At 36.8% G+C, this 14,689-nt stretch overlaps 1 protein-coding gene across 7 annotated transcripts in view, besides 1 other annotated feature; it reads right to left on the reverse strand.

Moving 5' to 3' along the window:
* The window catches only part of KHDRBS2 (KH RNA binding domain containing, signal transduction associated 2), a 743,556-nt gene extending 733,285 nt beyond the window's left edge, over nucleotides 1-10,271 (reverse strand). For all 7 annotated transcript variants that reach the window (NR_146870.2, NR_146873.3, NR_146874.3 and 4 more), the window contains exon 1: nucleotides 9,904-10,271. Coding sequence is in view for 2 of the 7 variants with exons in the window: in NM_152688.4 (NP_689901.2) it covers nucleotides 9,904-9,994 (91 nt within the window). In the remaining 5 variants the exon portion in view is untranslated. The remainder of the gene's footprint in view (nucleotides 1-9,903) is intronic.
* Nucleotides 10,131-10,220: a silencer, noted in NCBI's record as "silent region_17306". NCBI's record gives its function as "represses an Ori minimal core promoter by ATAC-STARR-seq in GM12878 lymphoblastoid cells {active_cell/tissue: GM12878}" and the evidence as "EXISTENCE:reporter gene assay evidence [ECO:0000049][PMID:35858748]".

Raw genomic sequence — 14,689 nt, forward strand, 5'->3', positions numbered from 1 at the left:
AGTCATCCCTTTCTTCTTCTCAAAATTAAACAAATTTCTTCTCATTCAGCCTCTTTATTGTGTTTCTATCACAGAAGCTCCCTCTCCTGAGTTGCAGTCAGGGCTCATCATTATCTAGCATACAACGCTATGAACCTGCTAAAAATATCTACGCTCTAGAGAAAACACACTTATTCTGGTTTTCTGTAAGAAGAGTAAAATCTAATCTTTAATGTTTTAAAGGAAACAGACATCGATCGTGGCATTTCTGATAACAGTATAATAACACCAGCCAATCTGTTTCAAAGTTATTAAATTCTAATACCTCAGAACATACAGATAACATTTAAATCAAGCTATACTGTCTTCTGTTTCTGATCAAACGTAAAATTTGCTCACTTCTAAATGTTAAACAAAACCCTGACTGCCTCAAGACCCAAGAGAGGGCCTACAGTTGTTCTTTGCTTCTAGAAGAATTCAGCAAATGTAAGCAGTTCTCTAAAAAATGTGGGGAAAAAAATGCCTCAGCAAACCACACAAAATTATCCAATCACTTTTTGGGTCCAAAGAAGTCTGAAATGTTCCCTCTGCTCTGCCACCACATCACTAAGCTCTCTAAGAAGCAGTCAATGTAAGTCATTCAGAAAATGTAGTAGGCTGTCTTGATGATCCTTAATTCAATTCTATACTAAGGTAAATTCCCCCATTCATAAATTTATTTGACTTTTATAAGCTATACTTATATTTTATGATATCATATAATAATTCATCCAATATTTGTATTCAGAAACATATTTTAGAAGTTAATGGCAACAACAACATTGATCTTCTAGATAAAATGTGCATACTAATAGCTGACATTCTTTCAAAGCCTAACATTGGGTCTCTATCACAGGAGACAATGTGGTGTAATGGTTACACGTGGCATCTAGGTGAAAAGGCCTGGGTTTCAACTTTACAATTTCTTTGCTGTGAGACCTGATATAAATTAATTTATCTAAGCCTTAATTTGTTTAATTTGTAAAACTAATGCTAATAACTACACAATAAGGTTGGTGGGTAGATTACTTGTGGTAATGCATCGTCTAGTACAGTGTCTGGCAAAGAGTAAACTCAATAAATGTTGAGATGATGATAATGGTAATAATGATAAATCTCTCATTACCATAAACAACAGAAGTTATGACTTTCTCTGAATTCCTATATCAGTGGTCTCTAAAATTTCTGTAAAATCTATCAGACCTTCCATATACTTATTTATATCATATATGTATATATATAAATATCTGTCTATATATGTAGTTGAATCCCCTATAGATTATAAACCCCATAAATTAAACATTTGATACTTCATTTATTAATAGCACATATCATATGCAGTTTTTTGGGTTTTTCTGTTGTTTTTGTTTTGTTTTGTTTTGTTTTTGAGACGGAGTCTTGCTCTGTCACCCAAGCTGGAGTGCAGTGGCGTGATCTCGGCTCACTGCAACCTCCACCTCCCGGGTTCACACCATTCTCCTGCCTCAGCCTCCCGAGTAGCTGGGACTACAGGCGCCCGCCACCACGCCTGGCTAATTTTTTTGTATTTTTAGTAGAGATGGGGTTTCACCGTGTTAGGCAGGATGGCCTCGATCTCCTGACCTTGTGATCCACCTGCCTCGGCCTCCCAAAGTGCTGGGATTACAAGCGTGAGCCACTGTGCCCGGCCCATATGCAGTTTTTAACAACACACATTCAAGGGCATATGTGATTGTGTAGTCAAATGCAGTAGAGTACTAGTCTGATGGAATTAATCCTCCAAACTATAACTAAAATATAAGGTAAATAGCCTAATGCTTTTATGATTGTTTATTATCTCTCTATACTGCAAAATCTTTTTGGAAGTACTGTTATGAGTCAAATGGAGGATGTGCTAAAAATGACTTCTTTCCTCCAAAAAAGTTAATAACAATGGAGCAAGAGGATGCTTGGCCATGACCTCACAAGTATTTGGCAAATAAAAGATGCAATCACTACAGAACTCTGCACTTGAGAAGATGAGGAAGCCATATAATATGGATATTTGCTAACATTAATGTAGAATATCATCTATTAGTGGTTATTCCACCTCTAAAAAAATTTCCAAATTCAGTTTATTTTATTGGAATTCAGCAGTTTGTGGGGAATAGTACCAAATTTTGATCTATGAAATATATTAAATATTACACGGTTTATAGCTTTAAAAAATCAAACTGATGCCAGAATATAATTCCAATGAAGATATATTTCTCATAATATAGCCAAACCAAAAAGAAAGATCAAATTCAGTGCTCAAATAAGTGCAAAAGGAAAGCTGATGATACTACACAGTTATTTCCAGGGGTTTCTAAAAACTACCTCCAAACCTCACTTCCTCCCCTTGTACAGCTGCTGTGGGAACAAACAGCTTCACTATAGACTGTATACATAAAGAGAAACTGAGAATAATGATCAGTTATGTTCCCATTCTCAGGTACCAGGCCATAAAAAAACCTTAAAATCAGATAAATATAGAGAATACTACTGTGTCCATTATCTAGATGAATTTATCGTGGTCATGCTCATTCCTATATAACTAGTCAATGAAATATTAATATTAATGTACAAGGCCTAATAGTCAATCAAAAGAAAATTTCATAAAAATATAAATTAAAACACATAAATGAATGCGGATGGGACATTACAGATAAACATAAGAAGACTTTCTTTTCTAGAAAGTGGAAAAAAGGAGGCCAATTGTCTCAGTACCACAAGATTCGGGAATGACATTTCAATGGTTTTCTTAGATTTTCTTTGTGCCGCGTATGTGCCAGACTGAGTGCTAGAAAAGCCAGCAACTCAGAAGTATTAAAGGCAGACACGGCCAGGCGTGGTGGCTCACGTCTGTAATCCCAGCACTTTGGGAGGCCGAGGTGGGCGGATCACGAGGTCAGGAGATTGAGACCATCCTGGTTAACACGGTGAAACCCCGTCTCTACTAAAAATACAAAAAATTAGCCAGGCGTGGTGGCGGGTGCCTGTAGTCCCAGCTACTCAGGAGGCTGAGACAGGAGAATGGCCTGAACCCGGGAGGCGGAGCTTGCAGTGAGCTGAGATTGTGCCACTGCACTCCAGCCTGGGTGACAGAGCCAGACTCCATCTCAAAAAATAAATAAATAAATAAATAAAAATAAATAAAAAGCAGACACACACAAAGCCTCAATCCAAACAACAAAGAAACAAATGGGCAGATTCTCAGATACCTCACAGAGTAAAGAAGGACTTCCCTGTACTATCTTTCCAACTTCCTGCATATGAATAATTTTTCAAAATTGACTTAAAAACAAATGGAAACTTTCAAAGTGGCCTCCTGAGGTTTTGAATTATGCAAAGATAAAATATGACTGAATTAGTATTATCATTGTAAGTGACAGAATTACTGAAAAATTGTTTCTGGAGATATCTTCTAAACACATGGTAGGAGAAAAAGGAAGATATGAGGTCAGCATCATTCAGTTAAGAAACATTTATTGAGGCCTTCTACATATAAGACTGAAGGCAAGCATTAAAAATTCAAAGACAGAAGTCATAGTATGGCCCTCAAGCTTAGAGGGGGAGACAACCAAGATCAAAAAGAATTGCATGTTGCAATGTAGTAGTGGTGGATAGGTTGAAAATAAAACCAGAAGTGCACTTAATTTATAATGAATTAGATGAGAAGCCATTATGAAAGGCTTACTAGAAGAAGGAATAGCAGTACTCAGTTTTATTGGATGAAGATAAATTATAATCATGGAGAGAAGCTAGAAAGGGCATTCTAAAGTGAGGTCTTAGCATGTGCAACACCTTAGAGATAGGAGAGGACAGAGAGAAGAGCAAGTGTTATTCACATGCGGAAGAGGTAGCAGAGGGGCCAACAGGGGGCTGGTTCTCAAATCTGATGGAGAAAAGCCTGTTTGGCCTCTACCTGGCACCATCACATACCAGGCACTGTGAAAAGTGCTGCTAATATAGTGATGAAAAAGACTTGGTTCTGCTCCTCAAGAGGAGACAGAGAGGAGCTGTTTCTCTAGTGAGAGAGACAGGCACAACCTGATCATTCTAAAATAACAGTTTGAATAGTGATCTAGAGGCGTTCGTTATGGGAATGAGGGGAAAATATCTAGCTTTCTGTGAATAGGTATGGGAATGTCAAGGGAGTGTAGAGAGTGAATTATAAGCAGTTTGGTATACCTGAGAGAAATTAAGCAGAAAGGCTGAAGAGATGCTTCTGGAGAGGTAAGCATATTATAAGAACGTCAAGGGGTATGGACTACGCCTTGCAGGCAATGGAAATTATTAAGAAGTGTGACATGGTGAGACTTTAAATGAATTACTGTGACAGCATTGTGTGTGTTGGTGTGGGAAGGAGGGAAATGAAGGATGATGAGGGCAAGAAACGGTCAAAAAAGGAAGTAAAACCAGTAGAATATAGTGCCCAGAAGACAAGGAAGATGGAAAGAAATCAGAAGAAGGTCAACAGTGGAAAGTGCAGCCAAGAGACTTGATAAGGGGTCAGAAAAAATTTACTCAATTTGGCAATATGAGATTATTCTGTCACTAGGGTCATCAGTTTCAGGACAGTGATGAAGACAGAAGCCAAACCGAATAATTCTAAAAAGGTAAATTAAGAAAGTGAGGCAGCTAGTATATACTAGTATTATCAGAAGTTTGAAGGAAACAAGGAAGGACAAATGTCAAGAGAGATTATTTTCCAATATTTGTGGCAAGTGAAAGAAGTATTCTATTTCTTCAAATTATTCACATTGAATCATGTTGACAGCTGCTATAAAGAAAGAGTCGATCGGGAGAAAGAGTAGGAGATACAAATAAAGGATTTAACTACAGAATGAGTCCAGAGATGAAGAGCATTTGGGTCAAGGATATGGATGGCAAGTCAACCCTGAAGAAAAGAAACATTTGGTCTTCTGGGAATGAAAGACAATGACGATGGCTATGGAAGTTTTTAGGTGGTAGGAGGTTGAGGAATAGCAGAAGAGAGATATCCATTTCCTCCAATAAAACAGATGATGAAATCACCTGCTGAGAGTGAAGAACATGTGGGTTTAAGATGAAGCCTGAATAGGTCTGAAATTACTCTTGAAATAAATAGGACCAGGGCTAATCAAGCCCATGGTTAAAGACTGACAAGTGATCATTTACTAAACATGATATTTTTAAAACCCTCAATCTAATCCTTTTTCATAAGGTAATTTATTTCATAATTTGCTTTATGAGTTCAAATGTAACTCAGCAGTAATCTAAAGTAAGGCAGTGTTTATTTTACTTATTTTCTCAAATTGAGGTGCATCATCATGTTATGTTTGTTTAATTTCTGCTTATATTTTTGTTATACACATAAAAATTATTGGCCGGGCACAGTGGTTCATGCCTGTAATCCTAGCACTTTGGGAGGATGAGGCAGGTCAATCACAAAATTCGGAGTTTGAGACCAGCCTGGCCAACATGGTGAAATCCAGTCTCTACTAAAAATACAAAAATTAGCCGGGTGTGGTGGCACGCACCTGTAATCCCAGCTACTTGGGAGGCTGAGGCAGGAGAATTGCTTGAACCCAGGAGGCAGAGGTTGCAGTGAGCCAAAATCGCACCACTTCACTCTAACCTGGGCAACAGCGCAAGGCTCTGTCTCAAAAATAAAATAAAATAAATTTTTAAAATACGGCTTATGTTATCACAAGCATCACAAGCAGAAGTTGTTTTTTGTTTGTTTGTTTTTGTTTTTGTTTTTTCATCTTAAAAGAACCCTGCCTGGTAGGTATCACTTTTCCTGTTATATAGATGAAGAAACTGAGTATCAGAGAGGTGGAAAAAAAATGACACATCCTTTATTTCCCAGTAGGTAGAAGTGTCAATAATCACTCCCAAGTGTTTTTCTTGTCAAAGTAGAAATTTTCCACTATATCATAAATTGTCTTAATTGAAGATCAAAGATAACTTGAATTTAATTTTTTGCCCATGTTTGTTTTGTATTTAAGAAACATAAGATTATCCCAAGTCTATTGGGAGAAAAAGGTGATTACGTTAATCAAAAGAAAAGTCACTTTAAAGAGTCACAGGAACACTATTTTTTAACCAGAAGCTGTTTTAGACATGACACTAATAACTTTCCTTAATTAAAAAACTTATCAAGCTTTATGAAAAATATTTAAGAAACACGATCTAACTAAAAAATGGTTCTTATTGATAATCTAAATGTAGTTAACTCACAAGTTTGCATGTGTGGTAAGTATTAATCCCTCTTTTCTTAATATTTTTAAGATCTCATTTATATCTGCAGAAATAAAGGCCAAGTCTAGATGGCAGGTCAAACTTTTTACTAAAGTTTGAAAATAGCGCCTACAGTTTTTTGAAAACCATTCGAACTGCTGGAATATTTGGCAATATTTGACATCGTCATATAATGAGTCAACCAAAATGGTTATGATTATTTCAGTGCTTGCAAAGATTTCAGGCTAGAAAATCTTCCCCAAACCTCTCTTAATTGGACAAAAATTTATAATGCTCCTAGGAGTATGGAATCACCATAACTGAATATATAAATCTGAACAGATCTATGTCTGTCAGCAGACACAGAATATTTCCAGATAATATTTTCATGTATATACATTTTTGGCCTCAAACATTAATAGTAGTTCAATAGACTTAAGAACATAAATCTGTCCCCAGTACCCAAAATAAAGTATATGCCTCAAATTACATTTTAGTGCCATAAATATATTATTAATCATTAAACTAGGAAAGAATGAAAAAAGTTTCAAAAATGTGCAGCCATTGAATTTTTGTTCCGAATATACAAACATCACTTCGTTGTATCATCAGTAGCCTGAGACTTAATTAGAATTGCAAAAAAACATATACATCACTTAGTCCAACTCCTTAATTTGAGAGACAAGGAAACTGGGCCCAGGGAAAGAAAGCTTACCCAGATTCAGTTGAGGTTAAAGTGGAATTCAAATCTAGGTATCTAGATTCACAGTTTAATGCACTTCCCAGAAGCAGAAAAGATATAAATAAACTTATGTAATTTCATCTGGCAACCAAATTCAGACACTGAGTAGAACTTTAAGGATAGTCCTGAGTTTGCTGTTTTATCATATTCAAAAGCACCTACCATAACAAGTGGATAACTAAACAACATTATAATCGCAGGATGAACATTATTTTAATTATTTAAGCATATTATAAACAAACTTCAAACTACATTATTCAAGAACTCTTCTGAGTAACAATCAACTGAAATCATTCTCATTGAAAACACACAGCACAAACAAGTGAAATAAAACAAACTACAATGGACCCCCCAAAAACCCCAAATAAACATCCAACTAGTACTTTCAACCCCACAGCCTTCAATTCTACATGAAGCACTGTCAATTGAGCACTGATTTGCCTGTATCACCAATCAAAATGCAAAATAAATCATTGTGAAATCTCATTGGTTTATACTACTGCCTTTATATATATTAGCTTCCGGAAAATCATTCTGAAGAACTGAATCATCTGTATCATTTTTACTACTCACTCAGGCTTGACACTGTCTGCACAGTACTGACTGAAATGTACTTTGCACCTTCTTTCCAAATGAATATCTATGTCAGGTTTATTTACAGCCACTCCCTTCAATCAGTGCATTCTCAGGTATGAGAAATAAAATAATCTCAACCATACTCTTCTATAGAGATCTGAAACTAAGCGTGGACATCTTGGCAACTGGCCTTTGGAAAGATAATGAAAGATCTATACCATAAAATATACATTAAGATTATTGAGATTCCAAGAACAATCATCTTACACTCTTTAATTAGCACATGTAAAGAGCCCCAGGTACAGAGAGCTAATATAAAACCTATGCACCCTTTTGCATAACTCTTTAGGTACTCCAAGATTATTATAACCTCCTCCATTCTCTTTTCCTCATTCTGATTTCTCTGAAATTTGGGTAACCTCTTTGTTTCTTACTTAGATGTTTTTCTCTATTTAGGAGCTTTTCCTTCTAATTCTTTACAAAAGCAGGGCATGCTTCCCCCTGCTGGGAAAAAATCAAATTACAAGGTACATCAGAACATGTTCCTAAGTATTATATCAAGAAATCAAGTTCCTAGGAAAGATAAAATGTTAAGGAACCAAGTGCATTCTCTGACTGTTTTACCAGCCACAGAAATACTTATGCACTCTGTTAAGAGTTTCTTGTATGCATTTATTTAGCTTGGCCGTCTTCAAGTACAATAACTCATATTAATGACTGATGAATTAATCTTTGAGCCACTTGTCTCAAATAGAACTCCAATTAGCGGGTCAGAGAGAATGATCAATTTGTAACTTTTTTTTCACTTTAAAGACATATTATAAGCTACATAAAGAAAATTCTGGAAAATATATTGAAGACTATTCAAAATATATTAAAGATACTGAAGACTGGTAAGACTTGCCTTTTAAATCATTTCAAACAATCTTAAACATCTATTAACACATTATTTTGCTATTATTTTTATGTAGTTGTCTTTTTTGGGAAAGTAAAAAAAGTTCGTTTTTATTGACTTTACTTTTCCACTTTAATTTATATTTTTTTTCATTCAGTAACCAAGAAAGTAGTAGGCATAATTGTATTTCACCTTCCCACTTATCTATAAAACTAGCTTTTTCCCTGAAAACAGTTTAGTTATTTCACATGTTCCATGTTTTGAATATAAATCTTTTCCTAATTGTTTAGTATTTAAACATAGAAAAATACCTTACACTTCATTGTTAATATAAATAACAATTCATAAATTAAAAAATATAGCTAATGCCTATTTAAATCATATATTGAGGAGCAGAATTTATTCTTCCTTGGTACAACTAAGTCTCAAAAAAATCTTTTAATACTGAGGAGCTTGGGTAGAGGAAGTTATCCGTTTTAGTTTTTTGCTGTATGTAAGTCCATAACAAACTTAGCTACAAAACTGCATTGTAACCAATTTGATGATGAAGCAATTCATTATTAATGAAGCATTCATCTAAAAAAAATCTGCAGATGTTTTAAAAAGGCATGGGTAAGTAACTACAGATACCATAGGTGTCTTTAGTATTTAGATGGCATTATTATAACATAAATGGAGTAATTCGGTTAATAAAGTTCATGTGTCTTTTTTCAAAAAAAAACCTTTCAAAGCAATGCAAAAAACAAGACATATGTGTTCCTCTAGGAATGAAATCCCCTTTAACATTACAGGTACACAAAAGAAAATGCACACTTGGTAAAACAGTTGATCAATTATAGAGTGTTCCCAGGGACCAATATCTCACAGAGTACCCAATCATCACACTTCAAATAAATGTATAAGCACTTTAGCCTTTACTTACCACATTAACATACATATAAGAACATGCATAGTTTAATGCATAGGTTAATTCTAACACTTTCCATAGGATAGACTTTGATTAAAGGGTATCAAAAATCACTTCCTAAATGCAGCAAAAAATAAAAATAAAAATACCGATCTGTAGCTACGAAGCTCTTAGAACACTACATTGATCACCATTTACTTCCAAACTGCTTTCCCTTCCCTCTGCGAAGTGAAAATGTCCCTGTAGACCGCGTTACATACACTTTATGGTTTCTCTATCAATGATCCTAACAGGTCACATCGCCACTGCCATTAGATCTCCGTAGCTTTGGTCTTCTCCAAATTAAGACGTGGAGAAGGAGCACTGCTGTCCGCCCCAAGAACGGGGTCTGTCCGCCCGAGCTCTAAGGCGAGCATCTTCAGGGGGACAGTTTCTGCGAAGGCGGGGAGAGGAGTCCCTCCCCAACTTCACTCCCCTAATCAAGCCGCGGGTGAGATAGGCAGCCGGCGGTTTGTGCCCATCTGTGGGGGCAAGTCCTACCTTCTGCCAAAAGGCGCGACGCATGCACAAAAGATGGATCCAGGCTATCTTTCTCTGCCATCAGCTCAGGCAAATATTTCTCCTCTTCCATAGCGCGGACTTCGGATTGTCCCCGGGCGAAGCGCGAGGTTCCGCTCGCTCGGACGCAGGCAGGGTCTTGGGGCAGCGCCTGGCTCCCGCGCTGCTCCTCCTCCGCGCGGCGAGGGATCTCTGTGCGTCCTCACTGGCCCATGCACCCAGCACCTGCGACTCCCGCCGTCGGGCTGCGTGGCCCCGCGCCCACACCTGCCCGTCCCTTCCGTCGTCCCTCGCTCGCGCAGAGCCCCGGCTCACACCAGCGGCCTTAACTGGAGAGGCGGGAACAGGACGCGGCCCACCTCCGCCAACCACTCATTGGTGGTGGTGCCAGGAGAGGCGGGGCGCTGGCAGAAGGCCGCGGGCTCTCATTGGGCGGTAGCGCAAGTCGGGTGGCCTGACTGGCAGGAGGCAGCTGCAGAGGGGAAGGGAGCTCGGAAGATGCAAACGCTTTCTTCTTGCGCCCAAGCCTTCCCTGGCTATTAGGCATGCCCAGTTTTGTGGAGTTCTCTGTGTCTTCAGCTAAGGCGCAGAGGAGAGAGAGCGCGGGAAAAGCGCAGGTTAAAGAGAGAGGTCTGAGTACAAGTGGACAGGGGAGATGGAGATGAGAAGTGAGCCACCCGAGAGGGTGGAAAAGCGCCAGGGAAAGTCTCAGGAAGGTAGATGGGACTTCACCTGCGTCCCTAAGGCACAGGTGTCTCCTTTCCCTCACACAGCTCAGGCGCACTCCAGTTGTGCAGGAATCAGCAGCGCACTGGGTCTGGAAATACAATGAAGACTGCATGTGATCGGCAGCTGGTATTTCCGATGACCTACATCTCAGGGACGCAGTAGGATGTTCATTGATAAACAAATAAAGCGGCTCGAAGAAATATTGTGCAGAGACATGATTGAGGTGTACAATCATTAGGATATTGAATTAGTTCTGGTAACCTATCCGTGCCTCCTTTCCCCAGACCCTATCTGTGGAAGGGAGGTTGGGAGGGGCTGAATTTAAAAACCAAAAACAATATGATTCATTAGTCACAGTTTGTGAAAGAATTGGGAAGACATGTAGAAGAAAGAAGAGACTAGAAAATAGGTAACCACGTTTGCTCTAATTTTCCCCTTTCTCCTAGTTTTAGATGTGCCAGTCTCTTTCACCAGGTACTGTTGCTGAGCTACTTTGTATTATCCCACCTCTATTTAAAGGAAAGTTAAACCCTCATGATATCACCAAGCGTGGAGGCAAAGCCCATCCTTCTTTTACCAATGCGGCTATAAAATGTAACTTGCATGCCTCAATCGCTAGGAAACAATCTTTCCCCAAGTCTTGGGTTCTCGTTTCATAAGTAGTCATTTCCTGATTCTTCTCTCCCCCATTATTTTTGGTGTGGAAGAATGAGGGCCAACTTTGCTACAAATAAAATGTGCTGAAATTTTTCCAACTTATCTTACTGTATTTAAATATTTTCCTTTTAATTTTTAGATAAATTCGGGAGATTAACTTTTATTTGTATAATGTTTAAATAACGTAACGTGCCTCACATTGATTATTTCAATACGTCCTCACAGAAGCACTCTGAAAAATGCCAGCCAAGTATTACTTTCTCTGTTTGTATAAATATGGAAACTGAGGCAAAACAGAGAAATCGTCTCATGTCTAGTTAATGCTGAAGTTGAGATTAAAATTCAATTCTATATTAGCACCATTTATATCCAGAATATACTGCTTCAACCTACCTTTCTGTGTGTTATATATTTAATTTATTTGTGCATGTGTGCATTCAACAAATGTTTATTGGATACTGAAAAGAGTCTAGGGACAGTACTTAAAATTGGAGAAACATTGGTGAATAAGATACATACACATTCATTCCTTGTCATCACAAAGATGTTTTCTAATGGGAGAAGATAAATAAAACCAAGTATACAAGAGGAATGGTAATTGTTGACTGCAATAAAGGTCAAGAATGAACCAAGGAGTTAAGAAAGAGAATACAAGGGAAGACATTAGTTTCTTTATTTTTGACTAGGGTAAACATACAATCTCGATAAGCAGCTGATATTTACGGTGAAAACTCATGGAAAAGAATGAACCAAGTGAGTACAATGTGCAAAGAAAGACATTCCAAGCAGGGGAACTTGCCCCTGAAAAAGCCCTGTGGTGGAAAGAACTGTGCTGTCTTTTGGAATTGACTGAGGTCAATGTGACTACTGTAATATGGGAAAGAATGGAATCAATAAGGGAGGGGGGATTGATGTGTACAAACACTGAAGATTTGATGAATGAAAATTATTTGGATTTTATTCTAAGTGTAATAGGGGACCATAAAGTATTGGTATCTTTCTGGATGTGCTTCTTAATCTCTTTCTGATTCTTATGTTACTTTCAAAGGAGCTATTATTTAGAATTGAGTATATATACAGAAAGTTCTTGCTATTTTATCTGTGTGCAGAATGTTTAGTAGTTGAAGGGTCATGCATCCTGCACCTGGTCTGCAACAGGGATATAAAGGGAAAATATGCTTCAAACTTAAAAGAGGTGGCTACGATTTGCTATGGTAGTAAAGGGTGAATACGATGCCAACCACAGGCAAAAAACTGTAAATGTTTTCGAATAAATGTAAATTAGAACAAAATATTTTACAATTACAATAACATTTTGCTTTGCAGCATATCAAGACATTAAAAGCATATGGTGAGGATGGAGACGTGCAGAAACCCAGTTTCATGAATGAAGAAGGTGTAGTAACTCTTATAATGTCCAGCAACAACAACTACTTTATTATTCACAGCCATCTTTTCCATGATTACAGGATTAATAAGAAGATACCACAGCGAGCTGTCCAAGTGCTGACTTTATTATACAATGTCTTCAAGTCATTATAAATACAGTCAAGTTAATATTTTCTAGTTATTATCAAAACTAAAGATTTATTATTTGTAGTTCTTCAGGTAATCCCTCATCAAATGCCTAAAATGTATTCTAACAAAGCAATATATTTATGCAACTTAAAAAATCAAAAGAAAATAAACTCTAACATAATCTTTAGAAAAGTTTGTGTACTTACTACATGATGGACATTGTAAAATAAAGATATATAAGTATATTGACCCTTAAAAATCAATATGCTTCAGAATTATCTCACAAAATGTTGCCTATTTTTAAACAGAATATGACTAAATAAAGGCAAACACCAAGGGCCCTACATATACACTCATCCAGCATCAGATCCACGTGTTTTCAATAGATGGCTCTGTGTTACTGCATGTTCTCCATTTATTTCACATGCAAATATTTTACAGGTACAACATTATCCTTTAATATTCTCAGAGAAACCTTGAAAATGCAAACATTTTATAAACATAAATGTAAACAGAAAAACTTTAAAAAATGATTGTTGAATATAGAATATTTTGTGTCTACCCTTGAATAAATTATAACTGCTGTTTAACCCACCTCTTCTAATGATATGAATAACCTAAATCACCACTGAATTGATTTGCCTAACTTAAGTAAAGATTTATCTTATTTTAAACATGACTTCTAGCCCCAAAACATTTTTAATGGAGTTCTAGTAACTTTAACATTATTTTTAAAATGGGATATTATAGAAAATTTTGCCCCAACCACATTTGGTTTTGAAGGATGAATAAGTCATGCACCATAGAATATGTTCTGTGGTTAAAGCACAAACTGTATATTCAATATTTTCACACACCCTTGTAAGAAAGGTCAGGCTAAAGGGCATTTAATCAGACTAATCCTTGCAAACTAATAAAAAAATACCCAGCCTGCATTATCAAGTAGAGCACAGTTTCTGTTGCTTCCAGAGTTCTTATTAACTTTATGGATACCACATTAGCTACTCTTGACTAGTTACTCCAAGGATTAACTAACTCTTGACTAGTTACTCAAAGGATTCAGTAAAACCAACTCACAATAAGAACCCTATGTTTCCAAAATTGTCCTGGCCCAATAATTTACATAATGATAATGGAGAATGATGGTGTTAATATTCTTTTAGCAATCTAATGCCTTGGTGCCTAGAACAGAGTATAATAAACTATAATAAAGGACTGGCCCACTTATATTTACTGTAGAGCCCAACAGAACTTATTATATAAAAGATGCTATTTTAATATCTTAATTTCTTTGAATTTCACTAACTACACAAGTGAAATCAGTTCCAGTTTCTTTTAGAACTTCTATGTTATACTTTAGGATTGTAAGAAAAGACAAGGAAATGAGGACTTGGCTCTGCTGATGACCAATAGTGGTAATTGCATGTGTAGTAAGAAATTTCTAATATGTAATATGCTCAAAGATAAAATTTATGCTATATGATAATATATCATAGTACCACATAAATATTCACCACTTAAAGCTTGTGTGTGTGTGTGTGTGTGTGTGTGTGTTTTCTAATTAGAAAGCATTCTAGTTATTTAATAGCATATTATATTTAAACTGATACAAATATATAATTAAAGAACAACAGAATAGAGACAGAAAGAAAATTATTGACATTTGTTGAGGGTCTGCTACTGTGTTAGAACACTGCTGTTCTGAATCCTCACAAGTGGGAGGAAGGAAGGAAGGCCAAGGAAGAAACTGTTCTTAATTCTAATGTGGCTTAGCCCAGAGAAACTATTTCTGAGGTTTAAATTATCTGTGTTTGAAAAACTAACAGAGTTGATGTCCTTGTATCTCCATGAACAATTGTTGCAC

Source organism: Homo sapiens, chromosome 6 (genome assembly GCF_000001405.40).
Source record: "Homo sapiens chromosome 6, GRCh38.p14 Primary Assembly".
NCBI lineage: Eukaryota > Metazoa > Chordata > Mammalia > Primates > Hominidae > Homo > Homo sapiens.